The sequence below is a fragment of the Homo sapiens genome, chromosome 21, assembly GCF_000001405.40.
Source record: "Homo sapiens chromosome 21, GRCh38.p14 Primary Assembly".
Classification (NCBI taxonomy): Eukaryota; Metazoa; Chordata; class Mammalia; order Primates; family Hominidae; genus Homo; species Homo sapiens.
Genome location: NC_000021.9, coordinates 14908929 through 14928174, shown reverse-complemented (window position 1 = coordinate 14928174; position 19246 = coordinate 14908929). Strand labels below are relative to the sequence as shown.

At 37.6% G+C, this 19246-nt stretch overlaps 1 long non-coding RNA gene across 1 annotated transcript in view, besides 4 other annotated features; it reads left to right on the top strand.

The window, feature by feature from the left end:
* Window positions 254–845: an enhancer, noted in NCBI's record as "H3K27ac-H3K4me1 hESC enhancer chr21:16299651-16300242 (GRCh37/hg19 assembly coordinates)". NCBI's record gives its function as "activates a minimal SCP1, AML or CMV promoter by ChIP-STARR-seq in naive H9 embryonic stem cells {active_cell/tissue: H9 hESC(naive)}" and the evidence as "EXISTENCE:reporter gene assay evidence [ECO:0000049][PMID:30033119]".
* Window positions 846–1439: an enhancer, noted in NCBI's record as "H3K27ac-H3K4me1 hESC enhancer chr21:16299057-16299650 (GRCh37/hg19 assembly coordinates)". NCBI's record gives its function as "activates a minimal SCP1, AML or CMV promoter by ChIP-STARR-seq in naive H9 embryonic stem cells {active_cell/tissue: H9 hESC(naive)}" and the evidence as "EXISTENCE:reporter gene assay evidence [ECO:0000049][PMID:30033119]".
* Window positions 9507–19246, top strand: part of ASMER1 (adipocyte associated metabolic related lncRNA 1) — a 101831-nt gene continuing 92091 nt past the window's right edge. Inside the window, exon 1 of the long non-coding RNA NR_146322.1 lies at window positions 9507–10004. This is a non-coding gene — a long non-coding RNA (adipocyte associated metabolic related lncRNA 1). The remainder of the gene's footprint in view (window positions 10005–19246) is intronic.
* Window positions 15652–16409: an enhancer, noted in NCBI's record as "H3K27ac hESC enhancer chr21:16284087-16284844 (GRCh37/hg19 assembly coordinates)". NCBI's record gives its function as "activates a minimal SCP1, AML or CMV promoter by ChIP-STARR-seq in naive H9 embryonic stem cells {active_cell/tissue: H9 hESC(naive)}" and the evidence as "EXISTENCE:reporter gene assay evidence [ECO:0000049][PMID:30033119]".
* Window positions 16410–17169: an enhancer, noted in NCBI's record as "H3K27ac hESC enhancer chr21:16283327-16284086 (GRCh37/hg19 assembly coordinates)". NCBI's record gives its function as "activates a minimal SCP1, AML or CMV promoter by ChIP-STARR-seq in naive and primed H9 embryonic stem cells {active_cell/tissue: H9 hESC(naive and primed)}" and the evidence as "EXISTENCE:reporter gene assay evidence [ECO:0000049][PMID:30033119]".

Sequence of the window (19246 nt, the reverse complement as noted above, 5' to 3'; positions counted from 1 at the left end):
TTTGGTTTGAATGTCCTCCCGTAGCTCAGAGTAATTTGATCGTCTGAAACCTTCTTCTCTCAGCTCGTCAAAGTCATTCTCCATCCAGCTTTGATCCGTTGCTGGTGAGGAACTGCGTTCCTTTGGAGGAGGAGAGGCGCTCTGCATTTTAGAGTTTCCAGTTTTTCTGTTCTGTTTTTTCCCCATCTTTGTGGTTTTATCTACTTTTGGTCTTTGATGATGGTGATGTACAGATGGGTTTTTGGTGTGGATGTCCTTTCTGTTTGTTAGTTTTCCTTCTAACAGACAGGACCCTCAGCTGCAGGTCTGTTGGAATACCCTGCCGTGTGAGGTGTCAGTGTGCCCCTGCTGGGGGGTGCCTCCCAGTTAGGCTGCTCGGGGGTCAGGGGTCAGGGACCCACTTGAGGAGGTAGTCTGCCCATTCTCAGATCTCCAGCTGCGTGCTGGGAGAACCACTGCTCTCTTCAAAGCTGTCAGACAGGGACATTTAAGTCTGCAGAGGTTACTGCTGTCTTTTTGTTTGTCTGTGCCCTGCCCCCAGAGGTGGAGCCTACAGAGGCAGGCAGGCCTCCTTGAGCTGTGGTGGGCTCCACCCAGTTCGAGCTTCCCGGCTGCTTTGTTTACCTAAGCAAGCCTGGGCAATGGCGGGCTCCCCTCCCCCAGCCTAGCTGCTGCCTTGCAGTTTGATCTCAGACTGCTGTGCTAGCAATCAGCGAGATTCCGTGGGCGTAGGACCCTCCGAGCCAGGTGTGGGATATAGTCTCATGGTGCCCCGTTTTTTAAGCCGGTCTGAAAAGCGCAGTATTCGGGTGGGAGTGACCCGATTTTCCAGGTGCGTCCATCACCCCTTTCTTTGACTCGGAAAGGGAACTCCCTGACCCCTTGCGCTTCCCAGGTGAGGCAATGCCTCGCCCTGCTTCGGCTCGCGCACGGTGCGCACACCCACTGGCCTGCGCCCACTGTCTGGCACTCCCTAGTGAGATGAACCCGGTACCTCAGATGGAAATGCAGAAATCACCCGTCTTCTGCGTCGCTCACTCTGGGAGCTGTAGACCGGAGCTGTTCCTATTCGGCCATCTTGGCTCCTCCCCCTCTCTGTCTTATTAAGTAAAGTTAAGCTCTTCTCGGAGAGGAAATGCTAGAACTGAGTGTTGGGTCAATTTCATCAACACAGTCCCGGGAAGACACCACCTATTTCTTAGCTTTATTAAATTAAATCGATTGGGGAGCTTTTATTTTTCACTCCACATGGATTTGATGACAAATGAGGCAAGTTATAAAGAGACTGGAAAAACAAGTTTTGCCACCCATGTTGTATGTATTAATAATATCTGTGAATATTCAGTTAGCTAACAGTTAAATGTATTAAAATATCAATAATGGTGTGACGATAGCTTCAATAGCGTATGTGTGAAGTAGCCGAGAACTTTTAAAAATTAATTTGAATTATGTCAATGAGTTTAAAAAAAAAACTCCAGATACAATGTACTTAAATGAATAATATCTCTGGGTATCCCGAAGGGTTAGGTTTTTTTTTCAAGACCACTCTTGTCCCAGGATACTTCTTTGGACCAATGGAAGAGAGAGAAGCTAGTTTTGTAAATGGCTGTGTTTTATGATTTGATGCTAATGAAACTGCTTGTGATTTTCCTCTTCCGAGCTTGTTTTTGTGTCTAAATGGACTAGAAACTAGTTTCTGCACATTATGATACATTCCTCATCCAGTGGAATGTTTTTCATTCTGGAATTTATACCAGAATGCACAAGCTGGACATTTGGAAAATCTGGACAACTGTGCTGGAGCCCAAACCTCCAATTATGGCTTGAATTGGAGCTTTTTAGAGCTTTTTGTGCACTGCAGTGGAGCCAGCGATTGAACTTAGCTTGAAGAAGTTGAAGACATGTGACAGCCTGTAATGGATAGATCTAATAATCTTCTTTAACTTCAGAGAATTGTAGATTGTCGGAGAATTCTTGGCATTGTGGCAAGATATAGCATATATTGCAAAATAATATACTAATAGACAAATAGCTAGAAAACACTTTAGCAGAGGTAGTGCATTCTTGGCAGAAAATAAATGTATTTGGCAACCACCACAAAGGCACAAGAGAAAGCCTGGAAGCATGATCCTTTCAAATTTGGATGTTTTTCTAAGATCCATTTTTTAATACTATGATTTAGAAGATATAGATCTTACACTTCTAATACTTACTCTTACATTTTTAACACATTTTTAAAAATTTGTATTGTTCTATTGATATTTAAGATTAATGATTATCTGCTTCCATTTCCCAAAAAGTAAAAATCTTCTCTCACCTTTGATTTTTTCCTCTTCATTAATTCTACCATATTTCATACTGAGTTTATGTGGAATTTTTGTTCCAAGTGTTTATTATGTTTTGGTTTAGTGTTGCACATCAACAATTATTTAGGTTTTAGTATGAATTTGCTTATTACACTTTTGTATATTTAGGACCACGTGATGTCCTTTTCTGGATTCGTTACTTATTTTTTGCTGTGTATCCTCAAGTAATTCTTTCAGAGATTGCTTAGCTGGAGGCTTTTCTTGTCTGAATATGTATTTAGAATCTCTTTCACTCAAATGCTAGTTTGGCTAGGTATGGGATTGTAGGTTGAAAATCATCACCCCCTTTAATTTGGAAGATGTTAATGACTTCTAGTACTGAGTTGTCTTTATGAGGAGTTATGCTGATGGCAGGCTGACTTTTCAGAGTTTGATTTTTTTTTCAAGTTGTTTTTCTCTGAGTTTATCCTTGAAATTCTGAAATTTCACAATGATGCATGTAGCTTTGGCTCTTATAAAATCTGGCTTAGCACTTTTAATTTGAAGATTTATGCTTTCTCCAGACCTGAGGATTTTTTTGGGTTGATATTTATTTGATTATATACATCCTTGCATTTTCTCATTTCTTTCAGTCTGGAATTCCTATAATCTAGATTTGGGAATATCAAGATAATACTCTTCATGTCATTTAACTCTGCACTTATAATTTCCTTTCTTTTGTCCATCTGTTCTATTCCATGTGAAAATGTTTCAGCTCAATCTTTCAACTCACTAATTCACCATAAAGTATGTATTGCTGCTATTATTGCCTACCTATTGAAATTTTCTTATTTTTTTAATTCTGAGAAGATAGAATTTTTAAAATTAAATTTTGTAGCAGATACTTCTACATAAAGGAAATGTTCTTTCAAGTCTTTCAACTATTCATATTTATTCTAAGTCTTTTTGTTAACTTTATTAACTCTTTCTAAGAAGGGGGTGGTCATTCTTCTTTTTGTTAATGCCTAGTTTCTCTATTACTGACTTTTGTAAAATGTTTAGCACATCTTGGCTGCCTATAGCTTTGTATTTGAGAGTCACCGCTTACTTGTTCTTTGCATTACCAGAATCTATCCCCAACAAATGGGGGAAACATTTGGAATGGAAGCTTATCTTTCAAATGTGGAAGTTCTCATCACTCCTGGAAGTGAGTAGCTACCTAGCACTGTAAGTCTTCTCCAACTTCAATATTCTTCTCTAGCCAGTTGTTAAAGCCCACATAGTGCAAAAGACAGGAAAGAAAGAAATCAACTCGTCTGCTATTCCAAAAGGAGCCTTCCAACTAATTACTCTTTAAATGTTTGAGGGTTCTGTCTTAATTTTTAAAACTTCTAATACTGGACTTGGGGACTTTCAAACCTCCCCCTTCAACAACAGGCTTCTTCTAGGTGTATTCTAGCCTATAGTTTCATTCAGTTTTATTTTGCTAAAGGCATGATTGTATATGCTGTCTGTCTCTCTGAAATTCACAAAATTTGTGGTTCATTGCTTGTACTTTTAATAGGCATAAAATATTTTACTCTGTGTGATTTGGAGTGAGAGGGAAGATATAAATGTATGTTTAGTCTATGAAATTTCAAAAATCATCCTTATGAGAAGAACTTACAAACGTGAAATATATTTGTTCCAAGCTCAGGAGGAACATTTCAATTCATGAATTTATTTAGCCTTCAGTACAAGAATTTACAAATATGGTCAGAGTAAGGTATATATCACAAGCAATCTTGGACCACACATATTTTCTTAGGTCTTATTGTGAGACAATAAGGTAAAGGGAAAGTGCTTTCAATTCTTTTTTTGACCTTATACTCTTCTTAGTTGAGATATTTTTTCCTAGCAATGTTCTCATTATAAAAAGTTTCACCACAATAAAAGTAGAATCTCCTTCCAGCTTACTGTAATTGGTGGAGATATTAATTTTTAATGGAGTTCTCATGAGGACAAGGATACACCCTTTGGGATCAGGTGGTGGTTTTATCCTTAGAGAAGATGAAGTCGTTTTGAATATAGAGCATCACTTCACATGCTTAATGGGATCATTGACCAATAACTTTCTATCAGTGACCTGACTTGACTTCAGTGCTGAGTTGTCTGAAATATATGCAAGACTGTGACATTTAATTACAACACATTTTTTAGAAATAGCATCATTACATGTTAGCCACTGGATCATGTACTTTTGGCAGTGGATATGGGTTAATTTCAACAATGCAAACTTCTTTTTTTAAACCACAGTTACAGAGAGAGTACAGAAACTCTCTGTGCTACTCTGTTCAGCTACAATACTGGATTAATGAATGTTAATCCATTGCATGGCTGATAAAGTGATGCTGAATATTAACTCCCTGGTATTCTCTCTTCTTTTTCTTTCTTTTCTCATCTACCTTTCATGCAGTCTATAACACAGAGGTTGTGAATTTACATGCTGTCTGTCTTTCAGTATGTTTCTGCATTAAAATATCACATGTCATGAAGTTCTGGAGGTCACTAGAAAATTGCAAATAATAAAATTATTTCAGGAATCTATGTAATTTTTAATTTGATCATGTGCTCCCACTATCCTTTCTAATAACTCAGGCTGATTTAATACTGTCTTATTTTTAAAAAGATAGACCTATAGAAGAAAAATATAATTAGTTGCTGACTTGGCATTTGGTTCAACAGTACTGAATTCAAAATGTTAATGATAGAGACAGATTGAGCTGGAAAGAGTATTTTATTTTCTTAACAAATTTGACTTTCACGTGCAGTTCAACTAGAACACATATGCTTCTCCTATATGCATGTTAGCTGTTTGATGTTAGGTCACTCCTTAACACACATGGAAGTAGTGATTCTTATTCTATTTTAGTAATGAGATGAAAAAGTTCAGTGAGTTCATTCAAGTTAGACAATCGGTCATTAATAGGTCCAAGGTTAAAATTCAGAAAATCTGGCATGAAGGCAAAGAAAACTCCCCAGTGACCAAAAATCTAGTAGCGAGACTATAAATAAAAAATAAAGAGATGCCCCATGGTTCAGAAAACTGGAGGCTGGATGAAAAGAACAAATAAATCTCCAGAGTACCACTGGTGCTAGGATTCCAACACACTACTGAAGAGAAATTCCTGATCTCATTCTCACATAATGTAAAGCCAGTAGTAAACTGAATGTAACTAAACCTGTGAAAATGTCCAAACACAGCTTTACTCTAGGTTAGATTGATTCGGTTCAACAAACTTACAACCAGACAGAAGAAAGGACATAACTTTTCTGTGGGAAAATACTGTTTTTCTTTGGTCATTACTATTCCTTTATGCACTATACAATAAATAAATAATATAAAATACATAAATAAAATAAATAATATAAAATAAATAAATACATAAAATAAATAATATAAAATAAATAAAATATTTTATATTTATAAATAATATAAAATAAATAAAATATTTTATATTTATAAATAATATAAAATATTTTATATTTTATAAATAATATAAAATAATATAAATAAAAAGTTTGACAAGTAATGAAAGAAGAAAATATAATCCATGTTAAAGAGAGCACATAGTCAATAGAAACAAATGCAGAGATGTTCCAGGTGTTGGAATTAGCAGACAGGAATTTTAAAATAATTATGATCAGCTTGTGGAAAGGGTAGATAATGTATGTAAGTAGATTGGCAACTTTATCAATGAAATGCACATGTTTTAAAAGTTAGTTGGAAATGCTAGAAATGAAATACATAACATGGGAAAAGAAGAATTTGTTCAATGGGCTTATTGACAACTGAACTGAGTGAGAAAGAAACTGGTAAACTTAAAGACTGATCAGTGGAAAATATCCAAAATGAAACACAGAGAGAGATGTTTTAAAACAATGAAAATAATGGAAGAGCATTTCCAAGACCTGTGGGCCCAAATCAAATGATCTACCATATGTGTTGTTGGAGTCCTGTGAGAGGAGAGAAAGAATGAGGTAGAAGAAATATTTGAAGAGATAATAGAAGAGAATTTTCAAAATAAGTGAAAGACAGCAAAGAAGTGTAATCAACCCTAAGTGGAGTATATAAAAAATATCTTCACCTATGTACATCGTGGTCAAATTACTGTAAACCCAAAATAAAAAGCAGTATCTTATAATAGACAAATAAAAGCGATAACTATATGTAAGGGAACAATGACAAGAATAATGGCTGTCTCAGTATCAGAAACAGTGAAGGCTAGAAAATAATAGAACAATATCTTTAAAATGCTAAAAGAAAATATTGTCAGCCCACAATTCTATTTCCTATAAAGACATCCTACAAATATGAAGATAAAATTATTTCTAAAAGAAAAATGATTAAATTTGTCTGTGGCAGATTTATACTACAGCAAATACTAAAAGAAGCTCTTTGGACTAAGAAGGAGTTATACCATGTGGAAGCCAGGATCTACAGGAAAGGGAATAAAGCACCAGAAAGGGAAATATATGGATAAGGATAAATATTTGAATAGCTGTCATTGCTTGTATTCAACATTGTACTGTGACTTCTAGTTAGTGCAGTGAGGCCAGAAAAAGAAATGACACACTAAAATTAAAAAGAAGTGAAACTATCATTATTCACAAATGACGTGCTTGTGTGTAGAAAACTCCATGTGGGCCCTGCATGGTGGCTCACGCCTGTAATCCCAGCACTTTGGGAGGCCGAGGTGCGCAGATCATGAGGTCAGGAGATCGAGACCATCCTGGTTAACACGGTGAAACCCCGTCTCTACTAAAAATACAAAAAAAATTAGCCGGGTGTGGTGGCAGGCACCTGTAGTCCCAGCTACTCGGGAGGCTGAGGCAGGAGAATGGCATGAACCCGGGAGGCGGAGCTTGCAGTGAGCTGAGATCGCACCACTGCACTCCAGCCTGGGCAACAGAGCCAGACTCCGTCTCAAAAAAAGAAAAAAAAAGAAAACTTCATGTAATCCACACACAAACAAATAACTACTAGAACTAATAAGTGAATTTAGCAGTCTCTGGACACAGGGCTAATATTCAAATATCAATTGCATTTCTAATTACTAACAATAAACAACTATAAAATGCTATTTAAAATATTGTCCACAATAGCATCAAAAACCCAAAATACCTAGAAACAGGCTCTTTTGAAGTGAGTTAGAAAGTGCAAAGAATCTAGACTAACCAAAATAATATTGATAAAGAAGAACAAAGTTGATGGATTTACACTATTTGATTTCAGGACTTAATACAATGTCACTGTAATCAAGTGAATATGATGTTGGCGAAATAATAGATTGATGAAGCAGAATACAAAATCCAGAAATTGGCACATACAGATATATGTGATATATACACACGTATATGATACATACATACAAACATACATTGATATCTGACCAGAGTGGCAAATTAGATTAATAAAGAAAATATTTTCTTAAAACAAATGATGTGGCCGGGCACGGTGGCTCATGCCTATAATCCCAGCACTTTGGGAGCCTGAGGCAGGCAGATCACCTGAGGTCAGGAATTCAAGGCCAGCCTGGCCAACATGGTGAAACCCCATCTCTACTAAAAATACAAAAGTTAGCCGGACACTGTGGCGGACTCCTGTAGTCCCAGCTACCTCGGAGGCTGAGGCAGGAGAATCGCTGGAACCTGGGAGGCAGGGATTTTGCAGTGAGCAGAGATCTCGCCACTGCACTCCAGCCTGGGCGACAGAGTGAGCTTCCGTCTCAAAAAAACCAAAATAAACAATCAAACAAAAAAAAAACAAATGATGCAAGAAAGATTGGCTATCCATTAGAAAACAAAAAATGATCTCTGATCTTACCTCACCCAAAACACAAAAATTACGTAGAAATAGATCATAAACTTAAATATAAACATTATAATCAAAAAGCTTTTTGAAGAAAATAAATAATATCTTTGTAACCCTGGGGTATGCAAAAATGTATTAGAATTAAAAACATTTCACCTGTCAAAGAATATTTGATTTTCAATAAAATTTAATTTCTGCTCATTAAAAGAAAGTGAACAGGCAATCGACAGACTTTGAAAATTCTCATCACTTATTTTTCATGAATAGGTCATATCCAGAATATATAAATAACTTTTACGAGTCAACAATAAAAAGATAAACAGCTCAGTAAAAAATGGGCCAAAGTCTGGAAAGACACTTAGCAAAAGAAAATTTGGGAATAAGATGTCCTACATAGGATGAGGCTAATGAACACCTGAAAAGCTATTCAACATCATAAGTCGTCAGAGAGATGCAATTTAGAATCATAATGAGTTAGCATTTCACACTCACTGGAATGGCTAAGACTGACAGCACCAAATATTGATGAGGATATGGAGAAAGATAAATACTAACAAGTCAGTAGAGTAAAATATTACAACGATTGTGGGGAAAGGTTTGCCACATTCTTAAAAGTTAAACATATTGTGTCTCAGGAATTCCACTCCTAGGTATTTATCCAGGTGATATGATCACATACGTCTACACAAAGTCTTATATGAGACTGTTCCAAGAACATCTGGAAACACTTAAATATCCATTTCCTAGAAAATGAGTAAGCAAATTGTGGTATATTTATACAGTTAAATATTACTCTGTAATGAAAAGGAATGAGCTAGTGATAACATGCAACAGTAAGAATGAGTCTTAAAAATATATATTGGCAAAAAAAAGCCAGATGTAAAGAATATATACAGTATATTATGTTCAAAGACAGGCAAAATTGTCTATGGCAATGGAAATCAGTACAGTGTGGTTTGACTGAAAAGGAGAAGGAGGAAAACTTCTGGAGTGATTGAAACGTTTTGTATCTTGTTTTGGGTGGTGCTACATCGGTGTATACAACCATCAACACTCACGCAGGGAACACTTAAAATGTGTGCATTTTATTGTAATTTTAAAATTACCCGATTCTAAAAACTGAAAAAAAAAAAGAGAAAGAAAAAACCAATCACAGCAATTTTCAGCATTTTGACTCCATATAAACTGTTATTTTGGAACACTTGGTTTTCATCTGATAAGTGTGTTTGAAAGCAATGCTATGGTAACGAGTGTAGGATTTACCAAGAGAATCTGTGGTAGGAGGAAAGGGTTAGGTCAGCAACACCTGTTTCTGGCACTCTTCTGACGAGACACCAGATTGCCTACTGGCTTCTTCCAGCTTTCCCGAGCACAGGGAGAGTGGCAGCAATACCAGGGAGCCTTATGCTTACAAGATGGACACCATATGTTTTCACTATCGCTTCGTAGCTGTTCTCATCTGTCCCTTTTCTTTGTCCTTTTAGTATCTGAGGTCCAGTAACCCTGAGAAATTTAATTTGAGAAGACACCATGAATGAAATATTAATATTTTAAAATCAAGTACAAAGAGAAGATTGCCTGTGAGTGGTTATTCTCTTCAGTTGTCCAATAGCTGTTATTTATCAAATTAACACCAAAACGTTCAAACTCTCTAAAAATGAATAGCTTTGCTTTATAAGGAGAGTTGTGAAAACTTATTAAGAACTCCTGCACATATTATTTAAAGATACCATTTACACGTGAGAGTAATTATAAATGAAATATATTAAATGTCCGAAAGTAGCACCATGTGGCAGAATTTTCAGGAAAAGAAATCGAATTAGTACTGGAAGAAGACATTCAAATAAGAGAACCACATTTTCAAGGTAAGATTGTGGTGGATTATTGAGCTGGGTTTTTGGTTCTTTAAATTGATGAGATTAGGATTTAATCACAAAATAATTTACTTATAACCTGAGATTTCAGACTTTAGCTGCTGAATATAAAATGTACACTTCTGACTTCCGTTTTTTCCATTTGTGTGATTTCAGGAAAATTTATCAGCAAAACTTGGTGCTTTTGGCCGGAGGCATCTGTTTTGCAATTTCTAATCCTGCAGCTATTTAAAATGCCTGGAGAGGAGGGTGGAAAGATTTGTGTGTGAAGGGTGACTTTAGGAAGGATGAGCAAAAGGGGTACCAAATTTGAGTACTGGTTCTGCAGTTTTGAGTGAGTTCTGGAATTTAATTCTAAATAAAGCCCAGAGCAACATTGTCTTTTTGAGTACATTTGTTTTTTCAAAGTGCCCCTTGTTTGTGAAACTAGTTTCTTCTCAGCCACTAAAAATTATTGCTTGCCTTTTGGGCCACACAGCATAGTAATAAAACAATGTAATTTACTTATGAGGAATAAGATGCACATGTATCTTTAATGCAGCATTCAATGCCTACAGTTTCAGAACCTCAGTGAAGGAGTGAAGAGCAATCTATCGGTTTTTCAATCTACTCCACCTTTGGTGTGGGAAATTCATTTCCCCCAAAGCCCTAGGAAATAGCTTCTCTCTCCTACCTGATACATAGAAATTATTTCTTTTTCTCATTATTTTATCATTTTACCCAATCTCCTACTCTCTCTTTCTGACTCCTACTTATTTTTTAGCCCACTCTCACTTTGAACTTTTTGATGAATGTGATTATAACTATTTATAATATTCAGCTTTGGATCAGTGTGTGCTTAGGTGGTTACAAAATATGCTGCACCCAAGAATAATTAGTAAAAAAAGATTAATGCCACATGAAAATAAATATTATTTGGAAAAGAAGTATTAGGCCAGAAAGGTTTCCATGTTTCAGTTGAAAATAAGATGTGATGTGATTCAGAGGGAACAGAGTAAACAACTTAAGCAACTGGAGATGTGGATATCAAACCATCTTAATTTTTGCTGTGCTTATCCAGCTGATGGGACCAGCCTCTCCTACTGACTTTGGAAGCAGCTTTGGTATGTAAAAGCCTACATAAGTCACATAGCTTGCATTCACGCACTCTATATTCCTGTATTTCTAACCTTTGGTAAAGCAACCTTTTCCTTCTGCTGTCTTCTCAGGAGCATGGTTTGCCAGGGGTCACACACTGAGATGACTCTGGTGTTACTAAGCCAGTTTCCCACTCCCCAGGCCCAACAAACTTTCACCCAGTTCACTGTGGCTTTTAGTATATGTGTAAAGCTCTACTTGTTAAACGTCAGGAGTAGAATAACTGGTTTTAACTGGTTTTGTACTTGCAAAGCTGGAGTGTGTTTATCTGTACTTTGTCACTCTGCATGATAATCGTCTTTATTATTCAGGTATTTGTGAGCACCAAATATGTATATGGGAGTTTTAAAACTCATTGATTGCTTCTCTGGTTGCCAAGGATATTGGAAGGCAATTCCTTGAGTTCCTTTATTTATTTTCTATCAGAGTTTGTTTATTATTCATGGTTTTCTATGCTTCTGAATTACTTTTATATTCCATAAAGCCTAATACTTCTTGAAGTGAAATTTCAAGTTCATCTTCTTTTGCTGCTAGCCGACTAAAATCCTAGGCCTGAGCAAGGATAGATGTGAAACTTCTGTGAGCAAAAATACAGTGAAGCTTGTTCTCAGAGCATTTGAAGTCTTATTAGAGCACTAACTTGGTTATCTCAGACCTGTGTTTCTTGTGAATGCTGTTTGACTGGTGATACTTTAGCAGCCTGGAAGGAATGCCTCCCAAATCTAATTGAGCTGTTTTTTGCTTTGGCCTGGCCTATAATAGTCGGAAGATATTTTGGGTACTACTTCCCTGATGGTAATTCTGACCCACTTATTCTATAGCAGCTTTTGTTGCCATGAAATGCTGCAAATATTTGAGATATGCTTTACAATGTTAAATATATGCTATATTTGGCCACATTAAATTTTTTATTGTCTATACTCAGTACATTTTTCCTCTTGTGAATCTTTCAGGCAACAGTAGGAACATAGGTTCATAGATTAAAAGAAACATAAGAACTTAGGAACATAGTTGATTAAGAATACTATTAAATGAACTGGATATATTTCCTTGACCCTAGGCTACTTGTAGTAAACCACTAAACTAACATGAAATAATAAATGACAATGATGAAAATGGCCTTCTGTAACACCACTGTCAGAAACTTAAGCTAAATCTTGAAATGGTAATCTAGAGAAGTCATTCTCAACCACAGAGGAGGGAAAATGGTGAGGAACGAGGGTTTTGTTCCCCCAGTGGACATTTGGGTATGTCTAGAAACACTTTTGGTGGCCACAATTGGGAAGAAGGATGTCAACAGCATCTAATGGACAAAGACCACGGATGCAATGCTGCTAAACATCTCATAACGCACAGCACAGCAACCCTCCCACCCCCATCCACACACACAGCAAAGAATTATCCAGTCTCAAATAATAATGCTGAAGTAGAAAAACCCTCCTCTAAAGACCACTTCACAGAGAAATGACTTCCTTTTATGTGTTTTGGGAAACTAGCTACACTACATGCAAGTATGAAAGCAAGGAAACTTAGCCCATAAGTCCACTACCTTATTGCAGCCGTGTCTATTTCCATGCCAAACTTTGACTGCTTACTGAGTGTTTCCACCTTTTTACAGTTGTAGCACTCCCACCAGGTTTGACTTTGGTATGGTTTGACTTTCAAAACATATGTTCTACATTTTATAAAATAAGTTAAATAGGAAAGACATAAGAGTCAAGCATAAGCATAATAAAGTTGAGAGTCAGTGGAATAGACCTGCTAGACTTCTGGAATGGACTTCTCTAGACTTGAGAAATTTGTGACCACATTCTACAACCTAATATCATATTGAACAATTATTTTAAAAGCTACAAAACACCTGGGTCAGCAGTCCTTCTCAATGAGCACAGTGGTAGGGAGAAAACATTTGCATAAATAAGTCTGGCTGGCGTGATATAATTTAAATCCTAATAGAATGGTTTTATAACAACTTCAGTTTCTAAAACTTAAGGCAAAACATTATTTTACTGTGTTTGCTATCAAAGATTTCTCATACAGATAATCATAGAAAAAATTTATAAATATTAATTGTAATTAAAGAGCATGAGAACTTATAAAACAATATTTTGAAAAGGAGAAAAATATTTAACAAAAATAATATGGTTATTATATAAAGATTATTATAAAGATTAAAGAAAAAAATTTATAGATTATTAAAATTCTTGCCAAAGCATCTTTCAGAACAGATCTTTGCATAAAATATTGAAGACATAGCTTAAAGAAATCTCATATTTTGATGTGATATCTTTTAAGAAGTTTATGTGCAAGTTAATTGCAAGTATTTTGCTTAATTATTCAATGCTGAATTAAACAATATATGGAATATTTGTTTTTGCTAAATATAAAAGATTGAATTCTATAGAATTTTTGCTTCCATTTTGTTATGAAAATACACACATTCATGCATTCTCATATACACAGATAATATAAAACCTATGCTTTTTGTCAAGAGTAAAATTCAGGATATTATTAATAACATTACCTTTAATGGCAAAAACCACAATTACTTTTGCACCAACCTAATATAACTTCTGAAGGTAAAGACAACAAAACTGTCTCAAAGAAGACTTGACTGTATGAGGTATAGCAAAATTAATAACTCACAAAAGGTAAATACATCCAGATAAATCTTCTTCAGTACCCACCTTACCTGTTTATGGGATTTCCCAATTTAATTGTCTTTCTTGTTCTTAAAATTTACTTCTGACTTACTTTTGGTTATTTTGAAATCAAGTTTACACACAAAAGATAAAGATACTTTACCATATGGACAGTCAAAAATATGTGCCACAGACAATTAAGATCATTGTTGAAAAGAAACTCCAGATCATGTTTTGAACAATGCCAATCTCATTAGAATAAATGCACAACTTCCCAAATGGATACTGTAAAGGCAGCAACACACACTTGGATGTGTGAATTATATTTAAAAATATCATGCTTAGTTTATGCATTATAATATTGCTAGCAGTGGTTTTCTTTCTTGGGGTATTTACAGACCAAGGACTTCCTGGTTCTCTACCAGTAAGGGTGCTTGCATTCACACACACGTGTGAGATTTAGAGATGACACTTCTGTTCTAACTAGGCCAATATAATATTGTGATGCCTTGGAAACATCCTTAGATATTTGTTCTGAAAAAGAGGATGACACCAATTCAGATGCCATGGAAGCAACGGAACCAGATTATCTAGTTTGTGTTTAAGATACCAATCTAAACAATCTGCTGTATTTAACTGAGCAGAATTTGGCCTGTGTAAAAAATATGTAAGCCTCATATTTTTAGCATGACAAAAAACAGAATGGACTCAGAAGACTTTGGATTTCAGAGTAGAGATTTTCCTCTATTTAAAAATTATTCATCTAAATATTTTCAAATTGCTTAGCATAAAAATACTTTTCAGTGGGAGGTGGAGCAAGATGGCCAAATAGAAGCTTCCACTGTTTGTTCCCCCTGCAGGAGCTCCAAGTTGAACAACTATCCACACAGAAAACCACCCTCATAAGAACCAAAAATCAGGTGAGCAATTATAGTACCTGGTTTTCACATCCTACTAAGGAAGAGGCCCTGAAAAGGGTAGAAAAGGCAGTATTTTTTAAAATTATTATTATTATTTTACTTTAAGTTCTGGGGTACATGTGCAGAACGTGCAGGTTTGTTACATAGGTATACACGTGCCATGGTGGTTTGCTGCACCCATCAACCGGTCATCTACATTGGGTATTTCTCCTAATGCTATCCCTCCCCTAGCACCCCAACCCCCGACAGGCCCCAGTGTGTGGTATTCCCCTCCCTGTGTACATGTGTTCTCATTGTTCATCTCCCATGTATGAGTGAGAATATGCGGTGTTTGGTTTTCTGTTCTTGTGTTAGTTTGCTGAGAATGATGGTTTACAGCTTCATTCATGTCCGTGCAACGGATGTGACATTTATAGATTCAATGCTATCCCCATCAAGCTACCATTGACTTTCTTCAAAAAATTAGAAAAAAAAACTACTTTAAATTTCATATAGAACCAAAAAAGAGCCCATATAGCCAAGACAATCCTAAGCAAAAAGAACAAAGCTGGAGGCAAGCTTTGGAGGCAAGTCGGTATGAAGCCGACTTGATCGTAATGGATAAGCTTTTTGATGTGCCGCTGGATTCAGTTTGCCAGTATTTTATTGAGAATTTTCACATTAATGTTCATCAGGGATATTGGCCTGAAATTTTCTTTTTTTGTTGTGTCTTGAAAAGGCAGTCTTGAATTGCCAATGCCGCTCCTACCACATTGCCTGGTAGCAGCCATGTGGCTTGGAGAGAGAATCTGTGCACGTTGGGGAGGGAGAATGCATTGATTGTGGGACTTTGCACTGGAACTCAGTGCTACCCTGTTATAGCAGAAAGCAAAAGGGGGCAGAAATCAGCCAGTACCCACGAAACGGAGCATTTAGACCAGCCCTAGCCAGAGGCAAATCATCCATTCCAGTGGTCAGAACCTGAGTTCCTGCAAACCCCACCACTTTGTGTGCTATGGGGTCCTAAATAAACTTGAAAGGTAGCCTAGGCCACAAGGACTGCAATTCCTGGGCAAGTCCTGATGTTGTGCTGGGTTCAGAGCAGTGGACTTGGGATGCATACAATCTAGTGAGACACCAGCTGGGGAGGCCGAGGGAGTGCTTGAGCCACCCCTCCCCCAGACCCTGGTAATGCAGCTCACAGCTCCAGGAGAGACTCCACTTGAAGAGAGGAGAGGGGAGAGAAAATAGCACTATGTCTTGCAACTTGGGTACTAGCTGAACCACAGTAGAACAGGGGACCAGGCAGAGTCCTGAGGCCCCTCGTTCCAGGCCCTATCCCTGTTGACATTTGTAGACACACCTTTTGCCAGAAGGGAACCCATTGCCTTGACAGGAAGGACTCAGAATGGGCAGGATTTATCACCAGCTGACTAAAGAGCACTTGGGCCCTGAATAATCAACAGTGGAAGCCAGGCAGTACTCACTGCAGGCCTTGGGTTCGGCTCACAGCTATGCTGGCTTCAGGTGTGACCTAGCACATTTACAGCTGTATTGGCCACAAGGAGACTTTTTTTCTGTTTAAGAAAAGGAGAGGAATGAGTAAAGGGGACTATGTCTTGCAGCTTGGTTACCAGCTCAGCCACAGTGGGATAGAGCACCAAGCAGGCACCTGGGGTCCTTGATTCCAGGCCTTGGATTCTGGATGGCATTTCTGGACAAGTCCTGGGCCAGAGGGGAGTCAACTGCCCTGAAGAGAAAGACCCAGGCCTGGCAGCATTTACCACAAGCTGACTTCAGAGTCCTTGGGCCTTGAGTCAACATAGGAGGTAACCAGGAATTACTTACCACCAGCCTGGGGCAGTGGTGGCCACTGGGAGACACTCCTCTGCATGAGGAAAGGGGAGAAGAGTGGTAAGAGCTTTGTCTTGTGGCTTGGGTGCCAGCTCAGCTGCAGTAGAATACAGTACCAGGTAGATTCCTAAGATTCCTGACTCCAGGCCCTGGCTCCCAGACAGCATTTCAGGACCTGCCCAGGGCCCCAGGGAACTCCTTGCCCTGAAGGGAAGGACACAAACCTGGCTGAATTTGCCACCTGCTGATTGTAGAGTCCTTGGGCCTTGAGTGAACATAGGCGGTAGCCAGGCAGTGGTCACTGTGGGCCTTGAGTGAGACCGAGTGCTGTGTTGGCTTCAAGTCTGACCCAGTTCTGTATCAGTGGTGGTGGCCACAGGGGTGCTTGTGTCACCCCTCCTCCAGCTCTAGGCAGGTCAGCACAGAGAAAGAGAGAGAGACCCAGTTTGTCTGGGGGAAAGTAAGGGAAGAGAGAGAGACTCCATTTGTTTGGGGTAAAGTAAGGAAGAGAACAAGAGTCTCTCCCTGGTAATTCAAGGAATTCCTCCAGATCTTACCCAAGAGCACCAAAGTGGTACATCTATGAGACTGCAAGAGCCACAGTGCTACTGGCCTTGGGATGTCCTCTAAATGGAGACATGGCTACAGTGACCAAAGACTTAGATCATAACATTCAGGTCCCTTTGAATTATCGGAAAGCTTTCCAAGAAGGATGGGTAAAAACAAGCACAGACTGTAAAGACTTCAATAAATACCTAAATATTCAATGCCCAGATACCAATGAACATCCACAAGCATCAAGACCACCCAGAAAAACATGACCTAACCAAACTAAATGAGACACCAGTGCCCAGTCCAGAGAGACCGAAGTATGTGAACTCTCAGACAGATGATCCAAAATAGCTGTTTGTTTGGGTGCAGTGGCTCATGTCTGTAATTCCAGCACTTTGCGAGGGTGAGACGAGGACTACTTGAGCCCAGGAGTTTCAAACCAGTCTGGGCAACATAGTGGGACCCCATCTCTACAAAAAAAATTTTATTAATTAGCTGGGTATGGTGATATCATATGTCTGTGATCTCAATTACTTCGGAGGATCAGGCAGGAGGATTGCTTGAGCCTGGGAGGTAGAGGCTGCATTGAGCCATGATCACACCATTGCACTTCAGCCTGGAGGACTGAGTGAGCCCCTGTCTCAAAAAAAGAAAATAGACAAAAACAACAAAATAGCTGTTTTGAGGAAGCACAACAAAATTCAGGATGACACAGAGAAGGAATTTGGAATCCTATCAGATAAATTAAACAAATTAATTAAAATAATTAAAAAGAATCAAGCAGAAATTCTAGAACTGAAAATGCAATCGACATACTGAAGAGTACGACATACTGAAGAGTACATCAGACTTTTAACAGCAGAATTAATCAAGCCAAAGAAAGTATTAGTGAGCTTGAAGATAGGTTATTTAAAATACATAGTCAGAAGAGACAAAAGAAAAAAGAATAAAAAAGAATGAAGTATGCCTACAAGATCTAGAAGATTGCCTCAAAAGGGCAAATTTAAGAGTTATTGGCCTTAAAGAGAAGATAGAAAGAGAGATAGGGATAGAAAGTTTATTCAAAGGTATAAGAACAGAGAACCTCTGAAATCTAGAAAAAGATACTAATAATCAAGTACAAGAAGGCTATAGAACACCTTAATCAAAATAAGACTACCTCAAAACATTTAATAATCAAACTCCTAAAGGTCTAGGATAAAGAATGGATCTTAAAAACAGCAAGGGAAAAAAATAACATAAAAAGGAGCTTCAATATGCCTGGCAGAGAAGTTTCTCATTGGAAACTTCACAGGCTAGGAGACAGTGGCATGACATATTCACAGTGATGAAGAAAAAACTTTTATCCTAGAATAGTACATCCAGTGAAAATATCCTTCAAACATGAAGGAGAAATACTTTCCTAGACCAACAAAAGCTGAGGGATTTCAACACTGGACCTGTCTTAAAAGGAATGCTAAAAGGAGTTCTTCAATCTCAAATAAAAAGGATGTTAATGAGCAGTAAGAAATCATCTGAAGGTACAAAACTCACTGTTAATAGTAAGTACAGGCCAGGCATGGTGTAATCTCAGCATTGTGGGAGGCCAAGAAAGGAGGATCACTTGAGCTCAGGAGTTTGAGACAAGCCTGGGAGACATGAGGAAACCCATTTCTACAAAAAATATCTCTACATAAAACACAAAATCCATCTTACTAAAAATACAAAACCCATCTCTAAAAAAAAACACAAAAATTAGCCAGGTGTGGTGGTTCACGCTACTTGGGATGCTGAGGTGGGAGGATTGCTTGTGCCTGGGAGGCGGAGGTTGTAGTGAGCCAAAATTGAGCCACTCCACTCCAGCCTGGAAGAGTGAGACCCTATCTCAAAAAAAAAAAAAAAAAAAAAAAAGAAGGACAAGGACACAGTAAGACAAAATATCATCAATATCATCACACTGTAATTGTGGAGTGCAAACTACACATACGTTGAGTAGAAAGACCAAAAGATGAACCTGTCAAAAATAAGATGTACAACTTTTCAAGACATAGACATTATGATAAGAACTAAATAGAAACAACAAAAAGTTAAAAAGGAGGGATAAAGTTAAAATGTAGACTTTTTATTAAGGTTTTTTTTTTTTTTGCTTGTTAGTTTGTTTATATAATCA